At 39.6% G+C, this 24,326-nt stretch overlaps 1 protein-coding gene and 1 pseudogene across 5 annotated transcripts in view; both read left to right on the top strand.

Annotated features, from left to right (window-relative positions):
- The window catches only part of LYPD6 (LY6/PLAUR domain containing 6), a 156,394-nt gene that overhangs the window by 91,207 nt on the left and 40,861 nt on the right, over nucleotides 1-24,326 (top strand). For all 5 annotated transcript variants that reach the window (NM_001195685.2, NM_194317.5, XM_024452699.2 and 2 more), the window contains one exon: nucleotides 16,447-16,635. In NM_001195685.2, the coding sequence (NP_001182614.1) occupies nucleotides 16,518-16,635 (118 nt within the window). In that variant the 5' untranslated portion in view covers nucleotides 16,447-16,517. The remainder of the gene's footprint in view (nucleotides 1-16,446; nucleotides 16,636-24,326) is intronic.
- Nucleotides 18,706-19,236, top strand: RPL17P13 (ribosomal protein L17 pseudogene 13; annotated as a pseudogene).

The raw sequence follows: 24,326 nt of genomic DNA on the forward strand, positions 1-24,326 counted from the left end.
TTGAGACCAGCCTGGCCAACAACCCTGTCTCTATTAAAAATACAAAACATTAGCCCGGCCTGGTGGCGCATGCCTGTAATCCCAGCTATTTGGGAGGCTGAGGCAAGAGAATTGCTTGAACTTGGGAGACAGAAGTTGCAGTGAGCTGAGATCATACCACTGCACTCCAGCCTGGGTGACAGAGCAAGACTCCATCTCAAAAAAAAAAAAAAAAAAAAAAGTGTGTTTTTATTTCTTGATGTCCCAGTTTCTGTATCTGTAAAATGGAGTAATAATAATTACCCCTACTACACTGAGTGTTGTGGGGATTACAGAAAGCACCTATGGAAGCACCTTGCACCTACTAGGTTGAGCCATATGAAGTTGCTGTTTTTGTAGGTCGAAAATGATGGGATAGTGGCAATCTAATACTATTCAGTCCTATAGTAAGTGCTCAATAAACGTTAATTGTTGCTGTTATTTTCCATGTAACCAATGTATTTTATTTGAATATAATATTTATATTTGGCAATTTTTATTTAGTTTTAAAGCCATATATGGACTTTAAAGCTTAATATCAGTTTTCTGTCTGTATTCATAAGTAGTATCATAATTAACATTCATTAGTTAACGGAATGGGTGAGGTTCTGTCTGTGAAACCGTTTTCTCCTTTTATAGGAGAAAACACTTTTCAAATTTGAGAAGGTCTGCCCCAGACCTTCCCTAACTAATTTGCTTCACTTCTGCCTGTGTTTTTATCCTCACCACAAGATGCTGATCTTAGCTTGGGATCAGCTAGAAAGTCTGACAGGTGGTGACCCAGGCTTTTGACTTCTTATAATAGAGCTTGGCATGCTATGGCGCCTCTTGGAAGACCTTTCAAAGGTCTTTCTGAATGGAAAGCAAACGTTCCTGGGCAGTGTCTTGACCCAGATGAGTAACCAGGTGCCTTCTTCACCTACTGTGAGCTGATTTTAAGGACTATGTTAGCTAGCAAGCATGTGCTAGCATTGTTCAAAGTGTACTATCTCCTTTAAACCTCCTAAGAGCCCTTTAAACTAGAGGTTTTAATTTCCCTATTTTGCAATTGAGGAAACTAAGGCACAGAGAGGTTAAGCAACCTTCCCAGGAGCAGTCAGCGTGCTAGGCTGAGCTGGCCCACTCCAGAGCCTGTGCTCCTGGACTGTACCACACTGCTTTCGATGCATTACATATTCTCCTTCACAGTAAGCCTAGCAAGTGGGTAATGGGGCCTGGGGTCTCTCTGCTCTGGAGCCCAGCACTTCATGTCCTTGCTGTAGTGGTTCCTGGTCAGCCTGCTTGTGGCTGTTGGGTGTGGCTGCCACACCCATTTGAAATATGTGTACATTGTGAAATGATTAAATCAGGCTAATTAACTTATCAATCACTTCACATACTTAAGATTTTTTAGTGATGAGAGCATTTAAGAACTATTCTCTTAGCAAGTTTCAAGTATATGATACACTGTTATTAACTCTAGTCACCATGCTGTACAACAGATCCCCAGAACTTATTCCTCTTATCTCACTGACATTTTATACCCTTTGACCAACGTCTCCCATCTATCTGTCTTCCCCCATCATCTCCTGACAAGCATCATTCTACTCTTCCTCTGTGAGTTCAACTTTTTTAGGTCCTACATATAGTGAGATCATAGAATACAATGTTTGTCTTTCTGTGCCTGGCTTATTTCACTTAGCATAATGTCCTCTAGGTTCATCCATGTTGCTGCAATTGAATTTTAACAGCTTTTTCTCTAAGCCCTTTTATTTCCAGTGCCCAATAATCAAATAAGTATACCCCTTGTATACTTATTTGATTATTGGAATGAACATAGAGGTTTATCTGATCTTTATAAAATGTAATGGATCCTGAGCTGGGTTGGCAGTTGGAGGCAACACCAAGACAGATAACCATCTGCCCCCACAGGGCAAGGAGGTACAGGGTGACCTCATATGTACCTGGAGGATCAGCTGGACTGCCCTGCCCACCTCCCAGCCTCTGCCTTCCTCTTTCATCAGCACTGTGGGGGCAGCTGTATCTCAGGTGGGATGTGGAGGTCAAGGAATTAGATTGGCCTGAAGCATTCAATAAAGGAAGGTTCTCTTAAAGTAAGCTTCTGGGTTATTTGAATTTTAAAAGAAAACATTTGTGAACCTTAAATACATTTCCAGTTCGTGATGGTATCAGGCTGCATGATGAAGGGGGGAAATTTTGATAGGTGGGATGCAGATTTGGGGTAGATTTTAACCACCCTGTACATTGCAAAATGAGACGATTGCCTACTTTCTCTGTTGAAATTAAGCAAGGTTTAGAGTTGCTATGTTTCTGCTGACTGTGACATGGCACACTGGGCTGAAAAGTGTCCTAGCCAGGGTGGCAGGAAAACGAGGCTGCCCTTGAAGCTCTAATTGTTTACCAGCTTTTTTCTGCGGATAGATACCTGAAATACTCTATGCCTCAATTCCTTCATGTATAAAATAACACACTTTGAATAGGACATTGGTTCCCCAAACTACTCCTCAGAAAACTAGACTAGTTAATAGACGTTCATTAAAAAATAAGCTCTCTGCCGGGGCGGGGGGTGGGGGGTGTCACTGTTCAAATAAGTGTGGGGAAAATGCTGACTTAAGCAAAACCAAAGAGATTTCTTCACTGCAGCACATTTCAGAGCCTTTAATATGCTTATGTGTATTCTGACTCTTAATGCACAGTATTTCCCATGGATGCCTCTGAGTAAGCTTGATTTGGGAGATGTGGGACAGAACCCTTTGCTGGTCCAATCCAGCCCTGATAAAAGTATTACTCAAAGACTTGAAGATTTCCCCGAAAGATGCCATCGTCTCAAGATGGCTTTATCTTCTCACCCTCCTCACCAGAAACACCCCAAATTCTTTTCTTCTTCCAAGTTCCTGTAGCATGCGTACACATGTCAATATGCACACAACACACACACACATCCCTCTGTTATAAAAGCAGTTATTATGATTACTTCTATATCAAATCAACAAATCGCTATCAGAGACCTCCTGTGTCATAGGGGTTGGGGACCTAAGGATAAATCAGATGATGTCCATAAAATTTACGCCCTTAAGGAGCTCAAAATTTAGTAAAAAGTATGTCATCTTAACAGTTCTACTACATGTTGGCAATCATAATAACTAATGAAAGCTATATGTGGTATATTAATTCGTATCTTGTCCCTACGGCATAGAAGCTATCGGTCTCATTTTAGAGATGAGGAAAGAAAAAGTAACCTGTCCAAGGTCATAGACCTAATAAGTGGCAAAGCTGGGACTTGAGCCCAAATCTGTCAAAATACAAAGCCCATTCATTGTCCTTACGAAATAAGGCCTGTAGCCACCTTAGATAGGTAGAGGCCAAAACAGGAGCAGAGAAGGTGGTTTCTAATTGATCTGGTGTGAGGAGAGGGGATGGGAGGCTTTCTAAAGGAAGTGAACTGAGACTTCAGTAGTGAATTGAAGGAAACCAAGGATGACAGCAGGAGCCAAGGCACTGAATGAGAAGCAGCGTGGTGCACTAGACACCTATTCATAGTGGCGCTGTCAATTGAGCTGGAATGTCAAGGGGCAAGTGGTAGGCAGGCACCAGATCATGGGAAGGCTTGTAGACTTCCCCTTCTACCCAGAACCGATGCTTCTCATTGCTGCTGGAGCTCCCACTTTACTTCCTCCCCAAAGGTTCGTCTTAGGGTTGTTTTGAAGACAGAATTGGGCCCTAGTTGCCAGTCTGGTTGGAGACTGGAAAGCTTCAATGGGATCACCTTGGATCAGGGAGTCCAGGGCATTCCACAGCTCGCACCTGCCCCTCAGGTTGTGTGTCATCCCTGTCTCTCTCCATTTTTTCCTTCCTTTTTTCTTCCAGATAAGCTGCCCTAGTTGGAAGGAAGGATTATGGATGTCTTATTGGTTTTCATGGATAATGCCTGTGTAGGGTTGATGCAGTCATGTCACCTGGATCCTCTTCCTGCGTCTCACATGTGTGTGGCCTTGGTTCTAAGGATGGCACATCAACATCACACCATGCTCACTATTCACTAAGTGACTGAAGCCAGCATTTCTTCACATGCTCTTAGCAGTCTTTATGGGGACTTTTATTTTAAGAATAACATTAATGATTTTACTAAGAGAGCTCAAGAATTTGAGTATTATGCTAGAACTATTAACAATAATGTATATAACAGATACTGTTATCTATGCCTGCCTTGTAGAGCATGATGAGTGGGTGAATGAGTGAACATGTAAAATAGAAAACAAGGAGGACAATTTTCTTATCCATAGGAGGCTACTCAGTACTTTTTTCTCTAAGAAAGAAATTAATTTAGATGCAAAAACAAAAATGTTCTATTATCAAGGACAACGCTCTTTTATTAATAACCCCTGTATCCTTTTCTACCTGAGTGAATGCTATGTAAAATCTTATTATATTCTGCTTTGCTACAATAATACACTTCTTCAATTATCATTATTTATAGAGACTTATAAATGAAGATGGTGCATTAAAAGGAAGAATTCCTGCCTCAGTGATACAGAGTTGGGAGCTTATTTGATACATTTTTTTGCCTTCAAATGCAGGATGAGGAAATCCTTCTTTCCTCTAACTAAGTGTGCTAATTAGTTAAATGTGTTTGAAAAGTCAAATTATAGTTTAGGTTGATTTAGCCAATCTTATACCCTTTCACAAAAATAAAACTGCGATGGTCTTTGAGCTGTCAGGATACATACTGTGTGTAGCTGAAGGTATTAATCACAGATTTGGAGGATATGTACACACATAGATTTGTTTTTAAAACATTCATTATCAAGTGAGAAATATTGGTTAAGATTTAGAAGTTGGCTGCTAATGAACCCAGTGGTTTGCAAATAGGGTTAGCCATAGGGTTTTTACCTAAGTCATTGTTTTGTTGTTGGCTGTTTGAATTTTTTTTCTTTTTCCTACAAGAAAAGAGAGCACAGGCTGGCTCTTCTCTGCTGTGAGAAATTCTGGAAGAACTCTCCACACCTACCAGATTAGTAATTACAGCTCTTTCTTGAACTTAAATTATTTCAAAGGCCAAATGGAAACAACTCTCACGGTTTTTGGACAAATATTTGGTCAGGATTCTTGGAACCATGGGAAAAACCCTACTCCATGCCAGGTAGGACACAAGATTCAGTATGAGTTGGTTCTTCCCAGTCTTGAGTGGGAATCAAGATGAGGCTAAGTGCTTGTTAATGGTTGAAGGTGAGCCATATTCTTCACGTTCTCTAACCCTTTCTTGACAGCTAGCTACAAGGGCAGATGGTTTAGGCTTTGTGGTAAGGAGGAGAATTTGTGTAGAAAGAAAGGGCATGATTTGTAAATTATGGTGGGAGGGAGAATTCTGGCTTCCTCCTGTCCCCAGAATCCATGGGACTTGGAAGAGTGAGTACTCTGTACTGGAAATAGCTCAAAAGGAAGTAGCAGTTTTTTGCTGTGAGCTGGGCTTCTCTCAACACAAAGCAATGGAAGAAACATTTCATGAAGAGGTTAAAGATTTCAGAGTGGTTTGTTTACATTTGGCTTTCAGACAATGTGGTGAGGGGTGTCAGGAAGGGCAGAAAACCCTTAATAATGTGGGTAAGCAGGGCAGTGCCAAAGACATTGGGTGGGGTGGGAGAATGAACTGATCTCAAAGCCTCAAACAGAATCTTCATGCCAGCCCTCTAAAATGATGACAGAGTGGCCCAAAACACCTTCCAGTGGGCACTGCCAATAAAACTCAGTTCAAATAGTGCAGAATATCTCCACGGGTGCATAGCAGGCAGCATCTGCTTTATAACTGATTACTAGTACTTCTTGTTTCTGAAGATTTGGAAACATGAATAAAAGAAAGGTAAATGCATCACTCCAAATACAGAAATGACTACCTCTATATAGTGCCAAGGTAACTCTTTTTTTGATTAAAGGATATAAAGCATATGCCTCATAATCTAATGTTAGATTTGGAACCAGGTTATTTTGAATGTAAGAACAGACCTGGCTGCAATTTAGTTCACTTAGAACTACTATATTGTTTCTGAGTACATTTTACACTTCCGCATTTTTGGAATATCTCTAGGGTAAAAATTCCTGGAAAAAATAAAATGAAAAATGGCATTCTGAAACATAAGAAGAGTTTAATGAAAGACACTAAAGGCAAAAATTTCTTCAGACCACCACCCCCTCCCAATAAATAAAAAATGACAAGCTGTAACTGAAATGTACCTAGTGTTCCATTCCTGCCTGGGAGTTCCTTGACTCCTTTCCCTTCTGGCTGTTTGCACTTGAAAATGCCTTCTTGTCAGTTCTCAAGAACCTTCAGATTGATGGAGAAAGCAAACAAGCACACAGCCAACAAGCTGAATAGCTCCTAGAGTAAATACATCCTTTAGAATTGTGAATACAGTCATGCATATGCATAATGACCGCATAATGACATTTTGGTCAACAGTGGACTGCGTGTCCAACAGTAATCCCATACGATTATAATGGCTATACTCAATAGCCTAGGTGTATAGTAGGCTATACCATCTGGGCTTGTATAAGTACACTCTATGATGTTCACACAACACCAAAATCACCTAACAATGCATTTCTCAGAGCGTATCCTCGTTGTTAAATGATGTATGATTGTATATTACTAGACATACACAACAAGACATCATTTGCCCTTCAGGAATTGAAGTATTTTGATGCAATTGAACTTTAAATCAAATTGGGGCAAGACAGCTTTTCCCTATAACTCTAGCCTTGCCAAGGGGCTCCAGAAAGAGAAATGAACTTTTTTAAAAAACATTGATTTTTATGCAAATAGATTCGCAGTTAAGATTGGGTATGCATGAATAACTTTCTCCCTCTAGGTGTAGAATAAAGTATCAGTGTCTATGAAGTCCAAGAGAGATCATCTCTGGCTAGTTCTCTATTATTGACATTTTTAAAACCACCTTTAACCTTTAGCTGATAAGGCTTAAAGAAATATTAATGTAAAAAGCATATTTATTTACAAAACAAAATTTAAGCTAGTGGCTGGATCCTTTTGGAGGACTCTTTTGGAGCCAGAGTTCCTGGCTGCAAGGGACAGAATGCCAGCTCAAACTAGCTTGGGCAAAGGGAGATTTATTGGATGGATATTAAGGCTTCTATAATAATTAAAGGAAGAGTTAAAAACTGGCCAGAAATGCAAGGGTTGAACACAGTTGGGGCTTTTTTGACTCTCTCTCATCACCGTTTCTCTTAGCCAGCAAGTTTCATTCTCTTCTTCCTCCTCCATGATGGGAGGAACATGGCATACACATGTTTCTGCGTGTCACACCTTGGGGGCTCCTGTACCAGAGAAGACTGGTTTATTTTTCCATTCTCACTTGAAAAATATTCAGGAAGACTTCTAATTGGCCAGACTTGGTGAAAATGTCCAACACTGACCCAAATAACAGTAGCCAGTAGGCTTAGCCATGTAAGAATGTGAAACTCTTCAATAGTTACACATGATTGGTGTTAGCAGAAGACCCGTTCCCGTAAGAAGGGGGAAGTATAGAGCAGAATGCATTGCGAATGCCCCCTAGAACTTTGGTTTTATTGTTTCAACCTTGTATTTTGATTTGAAAAGTTGTAATGGAGTGGTATTCAATTTTTAGAGAAGAAAATAGGTAACGTTCCTACTTGTCAATAGGTAACATGTCAGTGAGGAACACTGCTGTCTTCTGGTATTTGCAGAAATATTCACCAGAGCAACCTTTAGCTTCATTTTGCATGCCTAGGCTAATGAGGTTATTCAAACTCTGTGTTGTTGTTGTAGTGGTCATCTGTGGTTTTGCTCTCCCAGCATCTAGTCAGTCCTTCTGCTTCAGCTTGAAACACCTAGGTTTTCCTGTGGGAAACCAATACCTCCCACATTCTCATACCTTGTGATTTCAATAAAAATGACACTTTTGCTCTGGTTTCAGCTACATGCTAGTGACGCAGCCCTGGGCAAGTGGAATGGCACATTACTCTGGCCAATTCTTGGTCCAAAGATGGACCTCCCTCCTTTCTTAGAGCTTTTCTTGAAACATTTTGAAAAGAGACTTCTGGAGAATGCCTTTGGAACTGCTGGTGGCTGTAGTTTGGGAGGACCTGATGAGAATAAAAGTAAAAGAGAGGGCAGAGCAAAGTTGAGGGATGAAAATTCCTGAAAACAAGGTTAAAAGTCCAGCCATGTCTAAACTGGATGGTTAGGTGAGACAGTAAAATGCTTCCCCTTCCTTCCCAGTTGCAGTTTTAGTTACAGCCTATTTGATTGGGATTTCTGTACCTTACAACCAATGTGTTCTTAAAAATGCTACTATCTTCATGAGCTGAACTGTAATTTCTAGTTAGCTCTTTAGCTCCACTTCCTTGTGTTTAGGTATCTGTAGCTGCTTTGCAAGTCACCACAGACCTTGGTGGCTGGAAGCCAGTAACAATCATTTTATTTTCTCTCATGATTTCTGTGGGTCGGGAATGTAAGAAGGGCTCAGCTAGGCTTTTCTGGAAGTTTCTGTGCTGTTGCAAGGTAACTGTGGCTATGGAATAGAAGGGAGGAGCTGGGATTGGAGCCCCTGGGGGTTGGCTGGGCAGCTCTCTTTTTTATGAAGTCTCAGTAGCTCCTTGTGGACTACTTGGGCTTCCTTATAGCATGGCAGTCTCAAGGCACTTAGGCTGCTAACATGGTGTCTCAGAGTTTCAGCACAATTATTCCAGAGTACCAGGTGTAAGTTGCATCATGCTCTATGACCTAGCTTTGGAAATCACAAAGCATCATTTATACCACACTCTGGTCAACTAGTTAGTAAAGTTGGCCCAGAGTCAAAATGACAAGATGTAGACCTCACATCTCAATGGAGACATGTGAAAGAATTCGCAATTGTATTTATTTATTTATTTATTTGAGATGAAGTCTCACTCTGTCACCCAAGCTGGAGTGCGTTGGCGTGATCTCGGCTCACTGCAACCTCCGCCTCCCGGGTTCAAGCAGTTCTCCTGCCTCAGCATCTGGAGTAGCTGGGATTACAGGTGCCCGCCGCCATGCCCAGCTAATTTTTGTGTTTTTAGTAGAGATGGGGTTTTACCATGTTGGCCAGACTGGTCTCAAACTCCTGACCTCAGTTGATCCTCCTGCCTCAGCCTCCCAAAGTGCTGGGATTACAGGCGTGAGCTGCTGCACCTAGCCCCCAGACAAGTTTTTAAAGCAGGGCATATCTTGAGCAATTCCCAAATTGCATGAAAGGTGCCTGTGGTCAGCGTGATATATTTAAAGAGACTTAGCTTTTGAAAGACCTACCTTTAGTTTATACTTTTGGAAACTGTATTAACTTTTTCAGGCACCTAAGATACCACCATATTAAAAATTAAATCAAGATTGATTGTGATCTTTGAGGCTTCAGAATTCCATTCTGCTCTTGTATTAGGCATTTTTAAATTTCTGTTTGAATAGCATTGAAATATTTAGATTTGTATTTGTTTGCCACTTTATAATTGCGTATATACTGACTTAGTCCTGAGATTTTGTAATTTAGTACTTGGTTCTTAAGATAGCTTCCAAAGTGCTTAATTTTCATCTAGTGACCAGTTTAAGTGGAAGTATCTCATTTTATAGACTGTACATGAAATAGTAATTAGGATGTAGACTTGTAAAACTTGACCTGGCTTATGGTCCTAGCACTTTGCCTCTGACTGATGTAGAAATCCTCCTTTATATTGTCTAGTACCATCCACACAGTGAAGGTTCAGAGTGCACCTCTTCTCAACTTTCTCCCAAGTGGAGGAAGTCCAATAGATCTTGAACTAATTTTTTTTTTTCTGTTTTGGAATGTAGCAAGTAATCCATTGGAATAAAACCAGCAGTTGAGTAACTCATGCAAAGGTAATTTAGAGCACAAATTAAATCTGTCAGAGCGGTATTAGATTTGCAAAAGCTCATAAATAACAAATGAAAGGTCACAGAACTGTGAAAATGAGAGTGTACTTCTTCATAAAGAGAACCGTATTCAGGGACACGATCTGCAGTGCATATTCAAATAGCAGCATCATAAAATGGAAACACAATGTCTTTTCTAAATGTCTAATACAGTACAAAGGCACTGCAGATTCTGTGGAAAAGCATCAAAGTCCCAGGAAAGACTTCATATCATCTGAACATGTCCAGCGTCACATTTGTGAGGTTTGTGGATTAAAGCTCCATCAACTACTGAGAATCTATGAGGAAAAGATACATCCCCTGAGCAGTGTTTGTATTTCAGTAGCTGTTAGGTTAATTGTGAATGCATGCCACTCATTTTTCATTTTTCAGTTCCTAGAAAATACTAATAGAGTGAGTGGTGCTTCATGATTTACTGCAGGAATGTAAACAGTCGGTGATATGAATAAACAGTCCTGCCCATCCTGTTTTTCTCATGGAAAAGAGAGGTGGAAAATACAGCCTTGTCTACTATAAAGTAGACAAGTTATTTTACTGTGCATTGTATGCATTTTTTTTAGTCCTGTGTCGGTTGTGATTTTTATAAGGGAACAAAATCTGTTTATAAAAAATAATGTGTGGGCTCTATCAAAATTAAAAACTTTTGTAGATCAAAGGACTCCATCAAGAAAGTAAAAGACAACAAAGAATGGGAGAGGATATTTGCAAACATTTATCTGAAAAGGATCTAGAATCCAGAATATAGAACTCTTACAACTCAAAAATAATTAGATAATATTCAGGCAAAATATTGGGCAAAGGATTTGAATAGACATCACTCCAAAGAAGATATACAAATGGCTAATAAGCACATGAAAAGATGTTCAACATCACTGATTGCTTGGGAAATACAAGTCAAAATCAGCGTGAGATATACTTCACAGCCACTAGGATGGCTATAATTTTTTTAAAAAAGAAAAGAAAAGTGTTGGTGAGGATGTGGGGAAATTGAAACACATATATTGCTGATGAGAATGTAAAATGGTGCAGCTTCAGTGCAAAACTGGCAGTTCCTCCAAAAGTAAAACGTAAGACCACAAGACCCAGCAGTTCCACTCCTGCATATATACCCAAGAAAAACAGAATGCATATGTCCACACACAAACATGTACATGAATGTTAGCAGCAGTATTCACAATAGCCAAAAAGTGAAAATCACCCAATGTCTATCATCTGATAATGGATAAACATAGTATGTTCATACAATAAAAGAAACCTCAGATTTCTGTGCCAGGTGCTTTCTTTCTGTTTCCTGATCAGAGGTCCGTCCACACTGGGTTATGGCCCTCCATTCTGGCTGCTGAAGCGTAGGGGAGGGAGGGAGTTCCTTGTGGAGTGAAGCTTGATCAGTGGTGATCAAGCAGGAAGGAACCAGGTAGATGACTTGTCTCTTTCTCCTTCCATGGGCTACACCAAGGTGCAGGCCTTCCTCTTAATCTTCTACCGTTGTGGTGTCATTTGAGGTGGTGAGCAGCATAGTACCCTATGAGCACGTTGCCTCCTGTTTTCTAGATTTATTTCCATCTCTCTTTTCCCCCTTTCCCTCATTGTCTTAGGCTTGCATCTTCCAAATAGTGTTAGGACACCAGGGGAGGGCATGGTAAGAGATGAGAAGAGAGAACATTCTGTTTCATATTGAATCTATTATTTTAGAAGACATGACTATTTTGAGGTTATGTTCATTGGTTTTAGGTGAAAAGCTGACTGACTTGTGCATAAAAAGTAAGTCTGTCAAACTCATTCTTTGAAAAATGTTATTAAAAGTTTTTCTCTATAAAATAATACATGCTCATTAAGATGTTTTGAATATGTAAATGAATATTAAAACACTCCTTAAGTCCTACATTATTTTGGTGTCTATCCTTTCAGTCCTTTTACTAACTACACATAAACCTAGAAAAGACATACTCTTTTTTTTCCAAAGAAGAAATGATTTCACAAGTAAAATGTATTGTGAGAATTAAAATTCAACTACTTTAAGAATTTGGAAATTCAGCATTAAACACATGAAATTCATGGTTAAAAAATTATTTGAATCCCCCAAATTTGAAAACTTGTGCTAAAGAAATCAGGCCTAATGAATTCAGCTTGCTCTTTCCTGTGATGAGTAGAGGTGGATATCTTGTAATGAATGAAATAGTTGCTTAATTTCATCCACGCTGATCCACCATCCTGTGCACACACAGGACATGGCCTTGGAAGGTGATACAAGGCAATGTGCTCCTGACCTCCATCAGCATCTTTTATACAAGTAAAAATTCTTTTTCTTTGGTATGGAGATATTGCCATACAGTCAGGAAAGCTGTGGGGGACTTGGTTTAGTTCCTGGCTGCAAAGCAGGAACTTTGATTGTTTTCTCATGAGGCACCCTGCTTGTTATGAGGCATAGCTTCAAGCAGCAATTGTAGCCATTTGGGGTTTTTGGCCATTTGGGTTTTTTAGCTTCTATGAGCAGAGTGCTGTACTCCAGTCCCTAGTTTTATGCTGTGAGCCTGGTTTTAGTTCCCTATCTCACATGAAGACATGTAAGACTATTCTCCACAGAGGCCAAGTTCCTGCAGCCACATCCCTGCTACTGGGTCCATTTCCCAGCAGCCCTATGGCATTTTCCCCATGTTGTATATGTACTCTGTGTCTAGTCTGTAAAAATATCCATCTCCTTTTTGACCTGAGCCTTGGCTTTTTGGTATTGTCCTTTAATATATCATTAGCATTAGTGTATAATTTTATCAGAAAGGATGTGGAATCATGATATATTGTGAAGACATCTCCCACCATTTCTTTTTATTATTATTATTATACTTTAAATTCTGGGATACATGGGTAGAACGTGCAGATTTGTTACATAGGTATACATGTGCCATGGTGGTTTGCTGCACCTGTCAGCCCGTCATCTATGTTAGGCACCATGGAGGTACCATGATCACTCTTAGTTCTGCACATAGACATTTGCAAACCAATTAGACGATAAATAAGTAGTATGATGGAGGGAGGGGGGAAGCATGTTTGACAATTTAAACACACTATTAAAGGCAACAAAACAAAAATGGAAAATGCTGCATAAGGTTACATGGAAGAGTAAGTTAAAAATTGAAGTGATGCCACATAGTTTTGTAAGTCGTTACTTTTTTCCAAAAAGTAACCAGAACAAAAGTTCTGCTATACTTAATCCTCATCGATTTAAACTTTGCCATGAGTTTGCTTTACTGTGTACTTTACTATGAATATAATTTTTCATATTCTTGATATTGTGAATTTTTAACTATCCCTTCAAGACATTTCTCACTCCCATCTGCTCATATTTTTGGTCATAAAAGATATAGTATACATGACTTCAAATTAAGTCTTTTTCTATAGCATGGATCTGGATTTTTATTTTTAGCAGATGTGATGATGTTTTTATCACTCATCTCTTATGGCAAAACAAAGGATGAGTTGACGAAGAAAGGGAGTGGAGGGCAAGAGGCCAACCCTGAGGTATTAGAATAGTCTGACATAAATGTTCCCATCCACTCCCACAGAGGCTCTCAGAACCCTCTCTGTGGCCAGGGTCTGAGGCAGGGAAAGTAAGGATAATCACGGCAAGTTCCTGTCCTGAGGAGCTCATGGTCCTATAACCTGGGAAGGAGTTTACAGTACTCTGTGTCACCTCAGATCAATTATACTCTTTTAAAATTATGAAACATCATCATCACTGGGACATGTCTTGTGGGAGGAAATGTTACCTAAAAAACAAAACAACAACAACAGAAAACATGCAGTGGGCTGAAATGTGTGCCCCCAAAATTCATATGTTGAAGCCTAACCCCTGGTATCTTGGATTGTGACTATATTTGGAGATTGAGCCTTTAAGGAGGTAATTAAGGCTGAGGCCATAAAGCTGAGACCCTAATCCAATCTGACTGGGTTCTTATGAGTAGAGGAAGTGACACCAGGACTATGCATGTAGGGCAAAGCCATCAGCAAGCCAAGAAGAGAGGCCTCAGGAGACAGCAGCCTTGCCGACACCTTGATCTTGGACTTCCTAGCTTCCAGAACTGTGAGAAATCTCTGTTGTATAAGCCCCCCAGTCTATGGTATTTTGTTACGGCAGCCTGGGCTAACTCATACACCATGGATTTACTATCTTAATTTTGTATTTTCCTCTCCAGTCTTTTGTCTGTGCATTTGTTCACATTTATGTTTACAGTTACACACATAATGTTCATTCCATTTTGATCTCTGACTCTCAAACTGAGCCCTGCTACGTACAGATTGGGAGGAGATGGGGGTATTGGCCATAGTGCTGCCAGGTATCCATGGGATGCTGTGCAGACCTGTCCCAGAGGTGCAGCCTCACCTTACCAACCTCACCATGCTGGCAGAGAAAAGCCAGATGGATGTGGAAAGAAGCACTGTTGAATTCATTCAAGATGAAGTGATGTTTGTCTCTGTCACTTGGCTGCTGACTTGCAAGGGAAAGATACTGGTGGATACTTGTTTTTTCATCATGTTGTTCAACCAAGTGCCCAGCACAGTGCCTGGCAGTCACATTTATTAAGTGATTGAGTGGCCCATTCTCTTCCTGAATGCCAGGTTTGCTTGGGGAATTAAATTGTAAACAGAAGATGGCGTAGTGAGCATGAAATTAGCAAGGTTGGCATTATCAAGCTGTTACAAGTGATAAGAGAGCTCTACTCTGTTGTCTAACAATTTGCCAATTAAAAAAGAATAATCACATCTGGAAGTAATTTAGCATGTTATGCATTTTATGGTTTCAGCTATTTAAAAAAATATTTTAAAAAGTTATAATACTATTCACTTAATGTGGTCCCATTCTGTAATTTTGAACAATTGCTTGCACCCTATAAACAATTGGGTCTGTTGGGCTCCTTAGAGTGTTCTACTTTGTAAGTTCATTTTTATACCTTCTATCATTGTGTTTTGATTAATTTTGCTTTGTAGTATATTCTAGATCTGATTGGGTCGTATTGATTTTCTGTACTGAGTTTCTGTTTCATAATATATTTCCTTGCCTATGTATTTTTACAAAGTAATTATGCTATTTAAAAAATCTTGTTGAACATTTATATTAAACAAAATATCAAAACTGTTTGTTTTCAGCTAGGTTAAAATAAAATGAGTAACCTTGACTCCTTGCAGAGCAATAGAGATAATGGTACTTGGAAAAGTAGTAGAACATGAGGAATAAGCTTTATAGGAAACCAAGAAGATAGCAAGAGAATAGCACCTATATAAAAATTAAGACAGATCTCTGCATTCCCAGTAAGCAGAGCAATTCAGGCTTATTACAGATTTGTCTTTTCCTTAATTTTGAGTGAAAAGGACAATCAGAATAAAGGACACAGTAGATAGTAATCACTTAGTGCTATAGCGATAACACAATCTTATCAGTTTGGTTTTTTTTTTCTGAGATGGAGTTTCACTCTTGTTGCCCAGGCTGGAGTGCAATGGCACAAAGTCAGCTCACTGCAACCTCTGCCTCCCAGGTTTAAGCGATTCTCCTGCCTCACCCTCCCGAGAGTAGCTGAGATTACAGGTGCCTGCCACCACACCCAACTAATTTTTTGTGTTTTTAGTAGAGACAGGGTTTCACTGTATTGGCCAGGCTGGTCTCGATCTCCCAACCTCAGGCGATCCAGGCCTTGGCCTCCCAAAGTGCTGGGATTACAGGCATGAGCCACTACGCCCATCCAATCCGTTTTTTAAATACACCTTAAGTCAGTCTTAAGAACAAAGAATTGCCTAGTGTTTAACTGTGCAGACTCCAAAGCCACATTGCCTGGGTTAGAGTCAGATCTGCTACTTATTTGCTGAACCCCAGTTTACCCAAAATGGGTTAATAATTATGCCTACCTCATACGGTTGCTGGGAGAATAAATGGATATACATAAAGGACTTCAGTAGTACCTGGCCAACAAATATTAGTTACATTAAGGAGATTTTGTGTTACGGAGGCACTTTTTAATTTTGGAGAGGTCAGCTTTCCTGTATTTGTTTGTTTTCCTAAATCTGAAAGTCTGCCCTGTACAGGTTTGCATGGACACCCGTGGCCCAGTATGGCTGAACTCCCTATCTGACCTGCACCATTCTCAGGGAAATGCTTCTGAGCTTTTGCTCCTGACTTCTTTATCGTACTCTGGCAGCCATCCCCTGGCCTCCTAGCAAAAAATAGCTGGATTTTGTTAAAATTCAGTCTCTCTTGATACCATCTCTGCTGGATATGAGAGGGGATGGCTACCAGTGGAGCCTTAGCAACCTGATTAAGACTAGATCTGGGCTGGAATGTTCTCAGTGCTCTAAAATTACTGTTGATAAAGTTTCTCTCCATGTCTACCCACTTCCTTGTGCCCTGTTGCTCTCCATCCCATCTTACCAGCATGGGAGCTCAGCCAAGCCTCCTGTGGCTTTCTCCAGTCGATCACTGAGATGATTCTTTCTTCATTTTTCAGGTGCAAGTTCTCTCCTGTTGCCCTGAGTGCCCACTCCCAGGCCCTCTGTATGAGTGACACTTCAGTCTGCCATGGAACCTGGCCCTGCTCTGGCCTGGCTCCTGCTCCTGAGCCTGCTGGCGGATTGTCTGAAAGCTGCTCAGTCCCGAGACTTCACAGTGAAAGACATTATCTACCTCCATCCTTCAAGTAAGACTGTTCTCTTTGCTGCAGAAATATCACTTTATTTCAAATAAGAAGTGGTTCAAAAACTGGCCAGGAAAAGGCATCCTTCAGTATAGTGAAAACCTCCCGTGATTTAACTGGGGTGGTGCGGTAATTTACAAAAGATGTTTTATGCTTTACCCTCACCTTTTCACAAGAAGATTTTTGGTGGTGTTAAGGCAAATTATTGGGCTTGTTTTCTCTGTTCCCTACACAATCACTCTGATTCTGAACACTCTTCCCCTTGTACTCATGCCAGTCCTAAGTCAGCTTTTAAAGTGAACCACCATATCCCAGAAGGAGGATTGTTTGTAAAAGATCAATCCTTTATACGTAAGATAATAGCTGGTCTTCCTCTCTGTGCATCTAATTCTCAATTTCAGTGTAATTTCCTCCCACAACTTCCAATGTCCTGTGCCTCCTTTTGGTTTCCTATATTTAAGAATTATCTAGGGAATGCTTAATAACATAGATGCCCAGATCCCTGCCCTAGAGTTTCTGATTTGCATGTATCTCAGGCTGTACCTGTGCATTTTTGCATTCAGCAAGAACTTCAAGTACTTCTGCTGCAGACATTCTAAGGATCACGCTTTAGGAAACACAGCAGTTTGACTTCCTCTTTTGGTCTCTATCTTTGTATTTATTGTCTCTTTGTATGAATCCTCTTCTGTATTGCCCCTGTTGAGGTGAGAGCTGGTTGTATTGTGTATATTCTGACCTTCGGCTTTTGCCCCAAGGTGCATTACTCTTTTGAAATGCTCTGTTTAACAAATATAGTTTGAGTGTCCACTGTGTGTCAAGGATTGTGATAGGCTTGAAAGCATAAAGGCAAATCAAACACAGTCCTTGCTTTTGAGGATCACATAGTCTACAAAGTGAAGGCAGCCATGTGGACTCCTTCAATCCACGTGGTTGGAATATTTAATGTCTGCTTGTTCTGGGTTAGCTGAGAGGTGGTATGCAGAATGCCCTGGGGCTTGGAGTCCACCTGACCTAGGGTCAGCAACTAGCTCAGCTGCTTTGTGGCCTTTTGACTTAAAATAAATTCCCTATCATTGTGAAGATTAAATTAAAAATGTGTATGAAGCACTTAGCACTGAGTGTGAGACATAGGAAATGCTCAATCAATGTTAGGAGAATTCTTTGTGTTAATTTTGTCTTTTCTAAAGTGGTAAAGTAATATAATACATACTCGTTAGCATTATTTTATGGAGCAGAAATAATATCTGTAAAACACTAGGCCTATACCACACCAGGCAATCAAATGGTTGTTTACATTATTGTTTTTATTATCGTTGGCTTAGTAAACTGGGGGTGCTGAGAATACAATGCTCCAGTGTTGTATAACTCCCATATACTTTTAATAGGCAGCAAATAATTTCTTTAGATTTCTATTGTCTCTGTACCCTCTTATCAGTATAGTCTGGTGCCCACTGGTTAATCGTATGGAAGACTTATCTGGCTGCTTGTTTTGTGGGGATTTTATTTTAATAATATGCATGAAGAGAAGGTGCTTTAATATTTGTTCTGTTTTCTAGATTGCATTTTGCTGTTTTCTCCAAGCAGGCATGCTACTTTATTAGACTTGGTGAATCAAAAACCTAGGTTTCTGTCTCTTAGGGTTGATTGCCAGAGTTTTCAGCTTCTGTATGATTCCTTCTCAACTTCAGTGACAGACTCAGTAGTAACTGGGCTGCAGAAAAGGTCCACACTGGACCTACACGGAGGCTGTGATTGTACACACAGAGTGGGAAGGAGAATTAAGGTGACTGGATTTAACAACATACACACCACTTCTGCCTCAGTAGTGTGGTGGGTCAGTGCCCTGTGTGTTGGGTCTCTATTGGGAAATTCAATTTCAGAAGGAGGTCTTGAAGGCTGAGCCTTGCAAGCAGAGGGAAATCACTTCTGCTCTTGAAAAGTTGATGAAAAAGTTCTGCTCATATGACCAATGTTAATTAAGTAAAGCCATGGCCTGATTAGAAGAAACTCGCCATATGTAAAGAATTAGTAGGGCTTCCTCTTCCCCTCACTGGCCTGAGGTGATCTGTAAAAATGGTTCACTATTCATTTGACCTGGAAAACCAAATCATGCAAATCAGGGTTCAAATCTTCATGTTCACTTTAAGAACACCTGTGAAACTGCCCAGACCATCAAGCGTATGCATGTACAAAAAGCCACTGAGTTGTCTGAAAGATGTCACTTTACAAAAATAATGTCTACCATTCTAACATTACAGTGGTGGAGTTGGTAGCTGTGCCCAGGCCAAACAGTGAGGCTGAACACAGGATCAGTGGCCTGAAAAGAGTGCTGATCTTTTGCTGCACATGCTTTAAAACACAGAATCATGCTGTACTTAGGGGTTTAGATGTAGATTCCCTGGTCACTGAGCCTATCCAGGTGAACAAGTAATCCAAGATGCACGGCTGAACTTACTTAAAGAGCCATACATGAGCTCCCCCTGTCACATCGAGGTGACCCTTACTGAAAAGAATCAAATTGTTCCTAAACCAGAAGAGGGGGTTGCAGAGAAGAAAAAGATATCCCGGAAGAAACTGAAGAAACAAAAACGTATGACATTGGAAATAAATGCAGCATAAAACAAATGCAAATAAAAGTAAAAGAAAAAAGAATTGGTGAGGTTTTCTGATATGATTTTGAGATATGGAGAAGGATGGAAGTTGTTCCTAAGTGAGATTATAAGTAGATGATTCACCAGCAGATCAGGGTCCAAGTTCTCTTTAGAGTCTCCCTCCATAACTTATGATGGGAATACTGTGTAAATTGTTGTTAGAGTGAAGTTACTATGAATGGCTCCTACTTGGCCAGAACTTCGTTTATTCTGTCCACCTTTTTTTTTTTTTTTTTTTTTTTTTGAGACAGAGTCTCACTCTGTCGCCCAGGCTGGAGTGCAGTGGTGCGATCTTGGCTCACTGCAAGCTCCGCCTCCTGGGTTCATGCCATTCTCCTGCCTCAGCCTCCCGAGAAGCTGGGACTACAGGTGCCCACCACCAGGCCTGACTAATTTTTTTTTTTTGTATTTTTAGTAGAGACGGGTTTCACCGTGTTAGCCAGGATGGTCTCCATCTCCTGACCTTGTGATCTGCCCGCCTCGGCCTCCCAAAGTGTTGGGATTACAGGCGTGAGCCACCGCGCCTGGCCTATTCTGTCCACTTTTAAATCAGTATTAACTTCTAATTTCTTTGAACTATTTTAGAAGTTTGTGGTGTGTGTTTTCACACTTTGATTTTTTAAATGGCGTGGTTCTATGTCCTTGAGCACTAGACCATATTAAGCTGTAGTCTCTACAAATAAGCAGGTATCTGTTGAACATAGACCGTAAAAAATATATGAGGGAAGTATGGGATTAGTTTGATTTTGAATTATTTGTATAGTCACCTCACTTTGTAGATGAAGGCACAAACAGCATTCTTTTGTGAATGAGCCACATTTCATTAATGTTACAATGTGTAACATGAAGCTCGGAACCTGCTGAAGGAGAAATATGGTGATGCTGGAGATATGAGAAGACACACACATTTTCTGTACCAGACAAACAGAAGCTATTTTCTCCTCATTCCGATGCCCAGAACAGCCATCACTGATAATAACTGGGGAGAGATTGGAACACCAGGCTGGGAAAATTCAGCCTCTCATGACTCATCTTTTTTGCTCCCTGGTTTCCTAATCTTTGAAGTTTCTGAACATTTAAAAGAAAGAAACTTCATGGCTTTCAAACCTGAAGCACTGTCGTCAATAATGTTCTTTTCTATAATCCTTGTGTCATTTGTTGTTGAGTTTTTCTTTGCTTGTTTTTATGTGAAAAATGAATTTCTTCCCAGCCTATGATTCAAATACCAAATCAAATAAGAACTTTCAAAACAAGAGTTACTATTAAGAGAAATAGAGCTGCTTATTTGGTAGTCAGACATAGTAAGAGATAGCAGAGTTTAATATACTAAGTGGCTGCGACCTATTCTTAGCCTCCATTTCTTTCCTTAGAATAGAAAGAAACCTTTCCTAAGAATATCCAATTTTCCTCTGGTTGCATGTTTTGAATCTTTCCTTAATCATGTACACCAAAGAGCTGTATTCCTGTGGGGGCTTGTTTGTGCCCATGTAGAGAGCCAAATAAGTTTGTTCAGACTATACTACGTAAGTCTTAGAGAGTAAGGGGACTTTCTAGGAAGGTACCAGATAATGTATTTATTTCTGTCAGAAATATGTGCATATTAAAATTATACTTAAATATTTTGTTGCCAAGTGGACTGAGAAAAAAGATACATTTATTAGATTTCTAGAATTTTTATATATGCATCCAGTTTTCAGAAACAATGGAAGTTAATTTGGTAAGGATAGAAAAATGTTTGGATGCATTACACATCAGCATACCTTTCAAAACAAAAGTCTGTTCTCACCACGGTTCTGGTAACTGAAGGCCTTTGTCTAGGCAAAAGTTCCAAGAGATGGAAACAAAGACTAAATCTTTTCTGATACCGTACAAATAAATTATGGTCGGTTGAACTATGGCTGACCATGAGAGTTAATGGACAGATTATTTTACAGGAAGTAACTGGGCACTTTGGCGTTTCTTTTTTTCTTTACAATCACCTTCTCTTAAGGGACCAAGGACTTATGCCCTGAAATACAGAGTACTGAGCTTATTAACTCTGTGATCAAGAGCCAAATTAGATTCATTCACAGCTGGGGCCACAACAATTTGAAACTCCGCTTGCTCTACAATGCTTTGAAGTAACAAAGAAGCAAATAGCACATCTCTTAGGAACCTCTTTCCGTCCTTTAAAAAAAAAAAAAAAACCTCTTTATCAGATGCAGTATCAATTAGCAAGTTACTGGAGATAGTTGTTCATCTGTAGACCTCATTTCTGGCAAAATATCTCAAGAGGGAAGAATTTAACCATTTACTTGGTATTATACCTTAATTATCCACTGAAAGCAGTATGTTTGCAGAGATTTGTCATTAATCAGGGTGTGATTATTCACTAATTGGTATTTCCTGCCAAGATGTCAGTAAAGGTTCCTACAAGCAAATATTAAACTCTAGCCATTGAGAATGTGCACAGATATGGAGCTGTAGATTCTAAAAGAAAACTCACCAAAAATGAGATAATTTGGTTGTCAACGATACGTGCTGATAAACTCAGAGGTAAAAGAATTTAAGCAAAGCTTCATTTTGCTGCCATAGTATTTTAGTTCCCACTCCTGTTTAAATTTCAATATACTTTGGGTTCATTTTCAGAATCCAGGCCTCTTATGTAAGAAATAAGTGTTTATAGTATGTCACTTGTCTCACAAAAGATCATTTTGAAAAGTCTATTAAGTAATTCAAATTTGTGAACACTACAACTTACTAGTGTTAGGGTCTCAATAAGTTTGTTCTTGGAGTAGCTGGATCGTCAATCTTCATTCAGAATTCTTAATTTATCTCTTTGATGGGAAAGTTTCCAGGAATAACTAATTCAGTATTCCATCCAAAAATTTTACTGGCTGCAGTGACAGACAGATAAAATTGGATGCCCCAGTGAATTAATCATGCAAACTGAAGTGGTACGAGTAGCTTGCAGCCATAAACCTTGGTGAATATGATGATCACTTTTTTGAGAAATGCTGTTCTCTGACAAATGCTTTGTATCTTTTTTTTTCCAAAATGTCTACTTTGATCATTCCACTTCAAATTTTACAAGCTATTTTAAAGTCCAATCTTTGAAAGTTGTTTATATATTAAGTATTTTAAACTTGATAGGGAAACTATTTTTTAATGTATCCAGTCAGGACAATTTCCTAAAATATTTTATATGATTAATTAAAATATCTGCAAGAGTATTGCATGGCTTTGGCGTTTGAGAACCTGTTTTGTTTTTGTTTTTTTAATTCTTCAGCCATGTACAGGAATACCTTAGAGATTATTGCAGGATCAGTTCCAGACCACCACAACAAAGCAATTATCACAATAAAGCAAGTTATGCAAATTTTTTGGTCTCCTTGTGCATATAAAAGTTATGTTTGTATTATACCATAGTTTATTAAGTGTGGAATAGCATTATGTCTAAAAAACAATGTGCATATCTTTTTTTTTTTTTTTTTTTTTGAGGCAGGGCTTGGCTCTGTGGCCCAGGCTGGAGTGCAGTGGTGCAATCTCAGTTTACTGCAGCCACCGCCACCTGGGCTCAAGCGATCCTCCCACCTCAGCCTCCTGAGTAGCTGGGACCACAGGTGTGCGCCACCACGCCTGGCTAATTTTTGTATTTTTAGTAGAGACAGGATTTCTTCATGTTGCTAAGGCTGGTCTCGAACTTGTGAGCTCTAGCTATCCACCTGACTCGGCCTCCCAAAGTGCTGAGATTACATCGTTGGCCACCATGTTCCACCAACAATGTACGTATCTTAATTTAAAAAGACTTCATTGCTAAAAATGCTAAGATCATCTGAGCCTTTAGTGAGTTACAATCTTTTTGCTGGTGGAGGGTCTTGCCTTGATATTGATGGCTGTTGAATGATCAGGGTGATGGTTGCTGAAGGCTGGGGTAGCTGTGGCAATTTTTAAAAATAAGACAACAATGAAGTTTACCATATGAGCTGATTCTGCCCTTCACAAAAGATTTCTCAGTAGCATGTGATGCTGTTTGACAGCATTCTACTCACAGCAGAACTTCTTTCAAACTTGGAATTAATCTTCTCAAAACCCTGCCACTGCTTTATCAACAGTTCTATGATGTTCTAAATCCTTTTTTGTCATTTCAACAATGTTCACAGCATCTTCACCAGGAGTAGATTCCATCTCAAGAAACGGCTTTTTTTTTTGCTCGTTCATAAGAAGCCAACTCCTCATTCACTTAACTTCTATTATGAGATTACAGCAGTTCAGTCACCTTTTCAGGCTCCGCTTCTAATTCTAGTTCTCTTGCTGTGTCCACCACATCTGCAGTTACTTTCTCTGTTGAAATCAAAGTCATCTGTGATGGTTGGAATCGTGTATTTCTAAACTGCTGTTGATGTTGACATTTTGACCACCTGTGAATCACAAATGTTCTTAATGGCACCTAGATGATTAATCCTTTCTAGAAGGGTTTTTAATTTACTTTGCTCATATTCATCAGCGGAATCATGATCTATGGCAGCTATAGGCTTACAAATATATTTCTTAAACAATAAAACTTGAAACTCAAAATGACTTCTTGATCCATCAACTACAGGAGGGATGTTGGGTTCCCAGGCATGAAAACGACATTAATTTCCTTGTAGATCTCCTACAGCTCTTGAGTGACCAGCTGTATTGCCAATGAGCAGTAGTATTTTGAAAGAAATATTTTTTTTCTGAGCAGTAGATCCCAAAAGGGGCTTACAATATTCAGTAGACAATTCTGTAAATAAATGTGCTGTCATCCAGGCTTTGTTGTTCCATTTATAGAGCACAGAGTAGACTTAACATAATTTTTAAAGTCTCAAGGATTTTAAGAATGATAAATTAGCATTGGCTTCAATTTAAAATTCACCAGCTGTATTAGCACCTAACAAAAGAATCAGCCTGTCCTTTGAAGCCAGGCATTGACTTTTCTCTCTAGCTATGAAAGTCCTAGATGTCATCTTCTTCCAATATAAAGCTGTTTTGTCTACACTGAAAATCTGTTTAGTGTCATCATCTTCAGTGATCGTA

The sequence above is a fragment of the Homo sapiens genome, chromosome 2 (assembly GCF_000001405.40).
Source record: "Homo sapiens chromosome 2, GRCh38.p14 Primary Assembly".
NCBI classification, from domain to species: domain Eukaryota; kingdom Metazoa; phylum Chordata; class Mammalia; order Primates; family Hominidae; genus Homo; species Homo sapiens.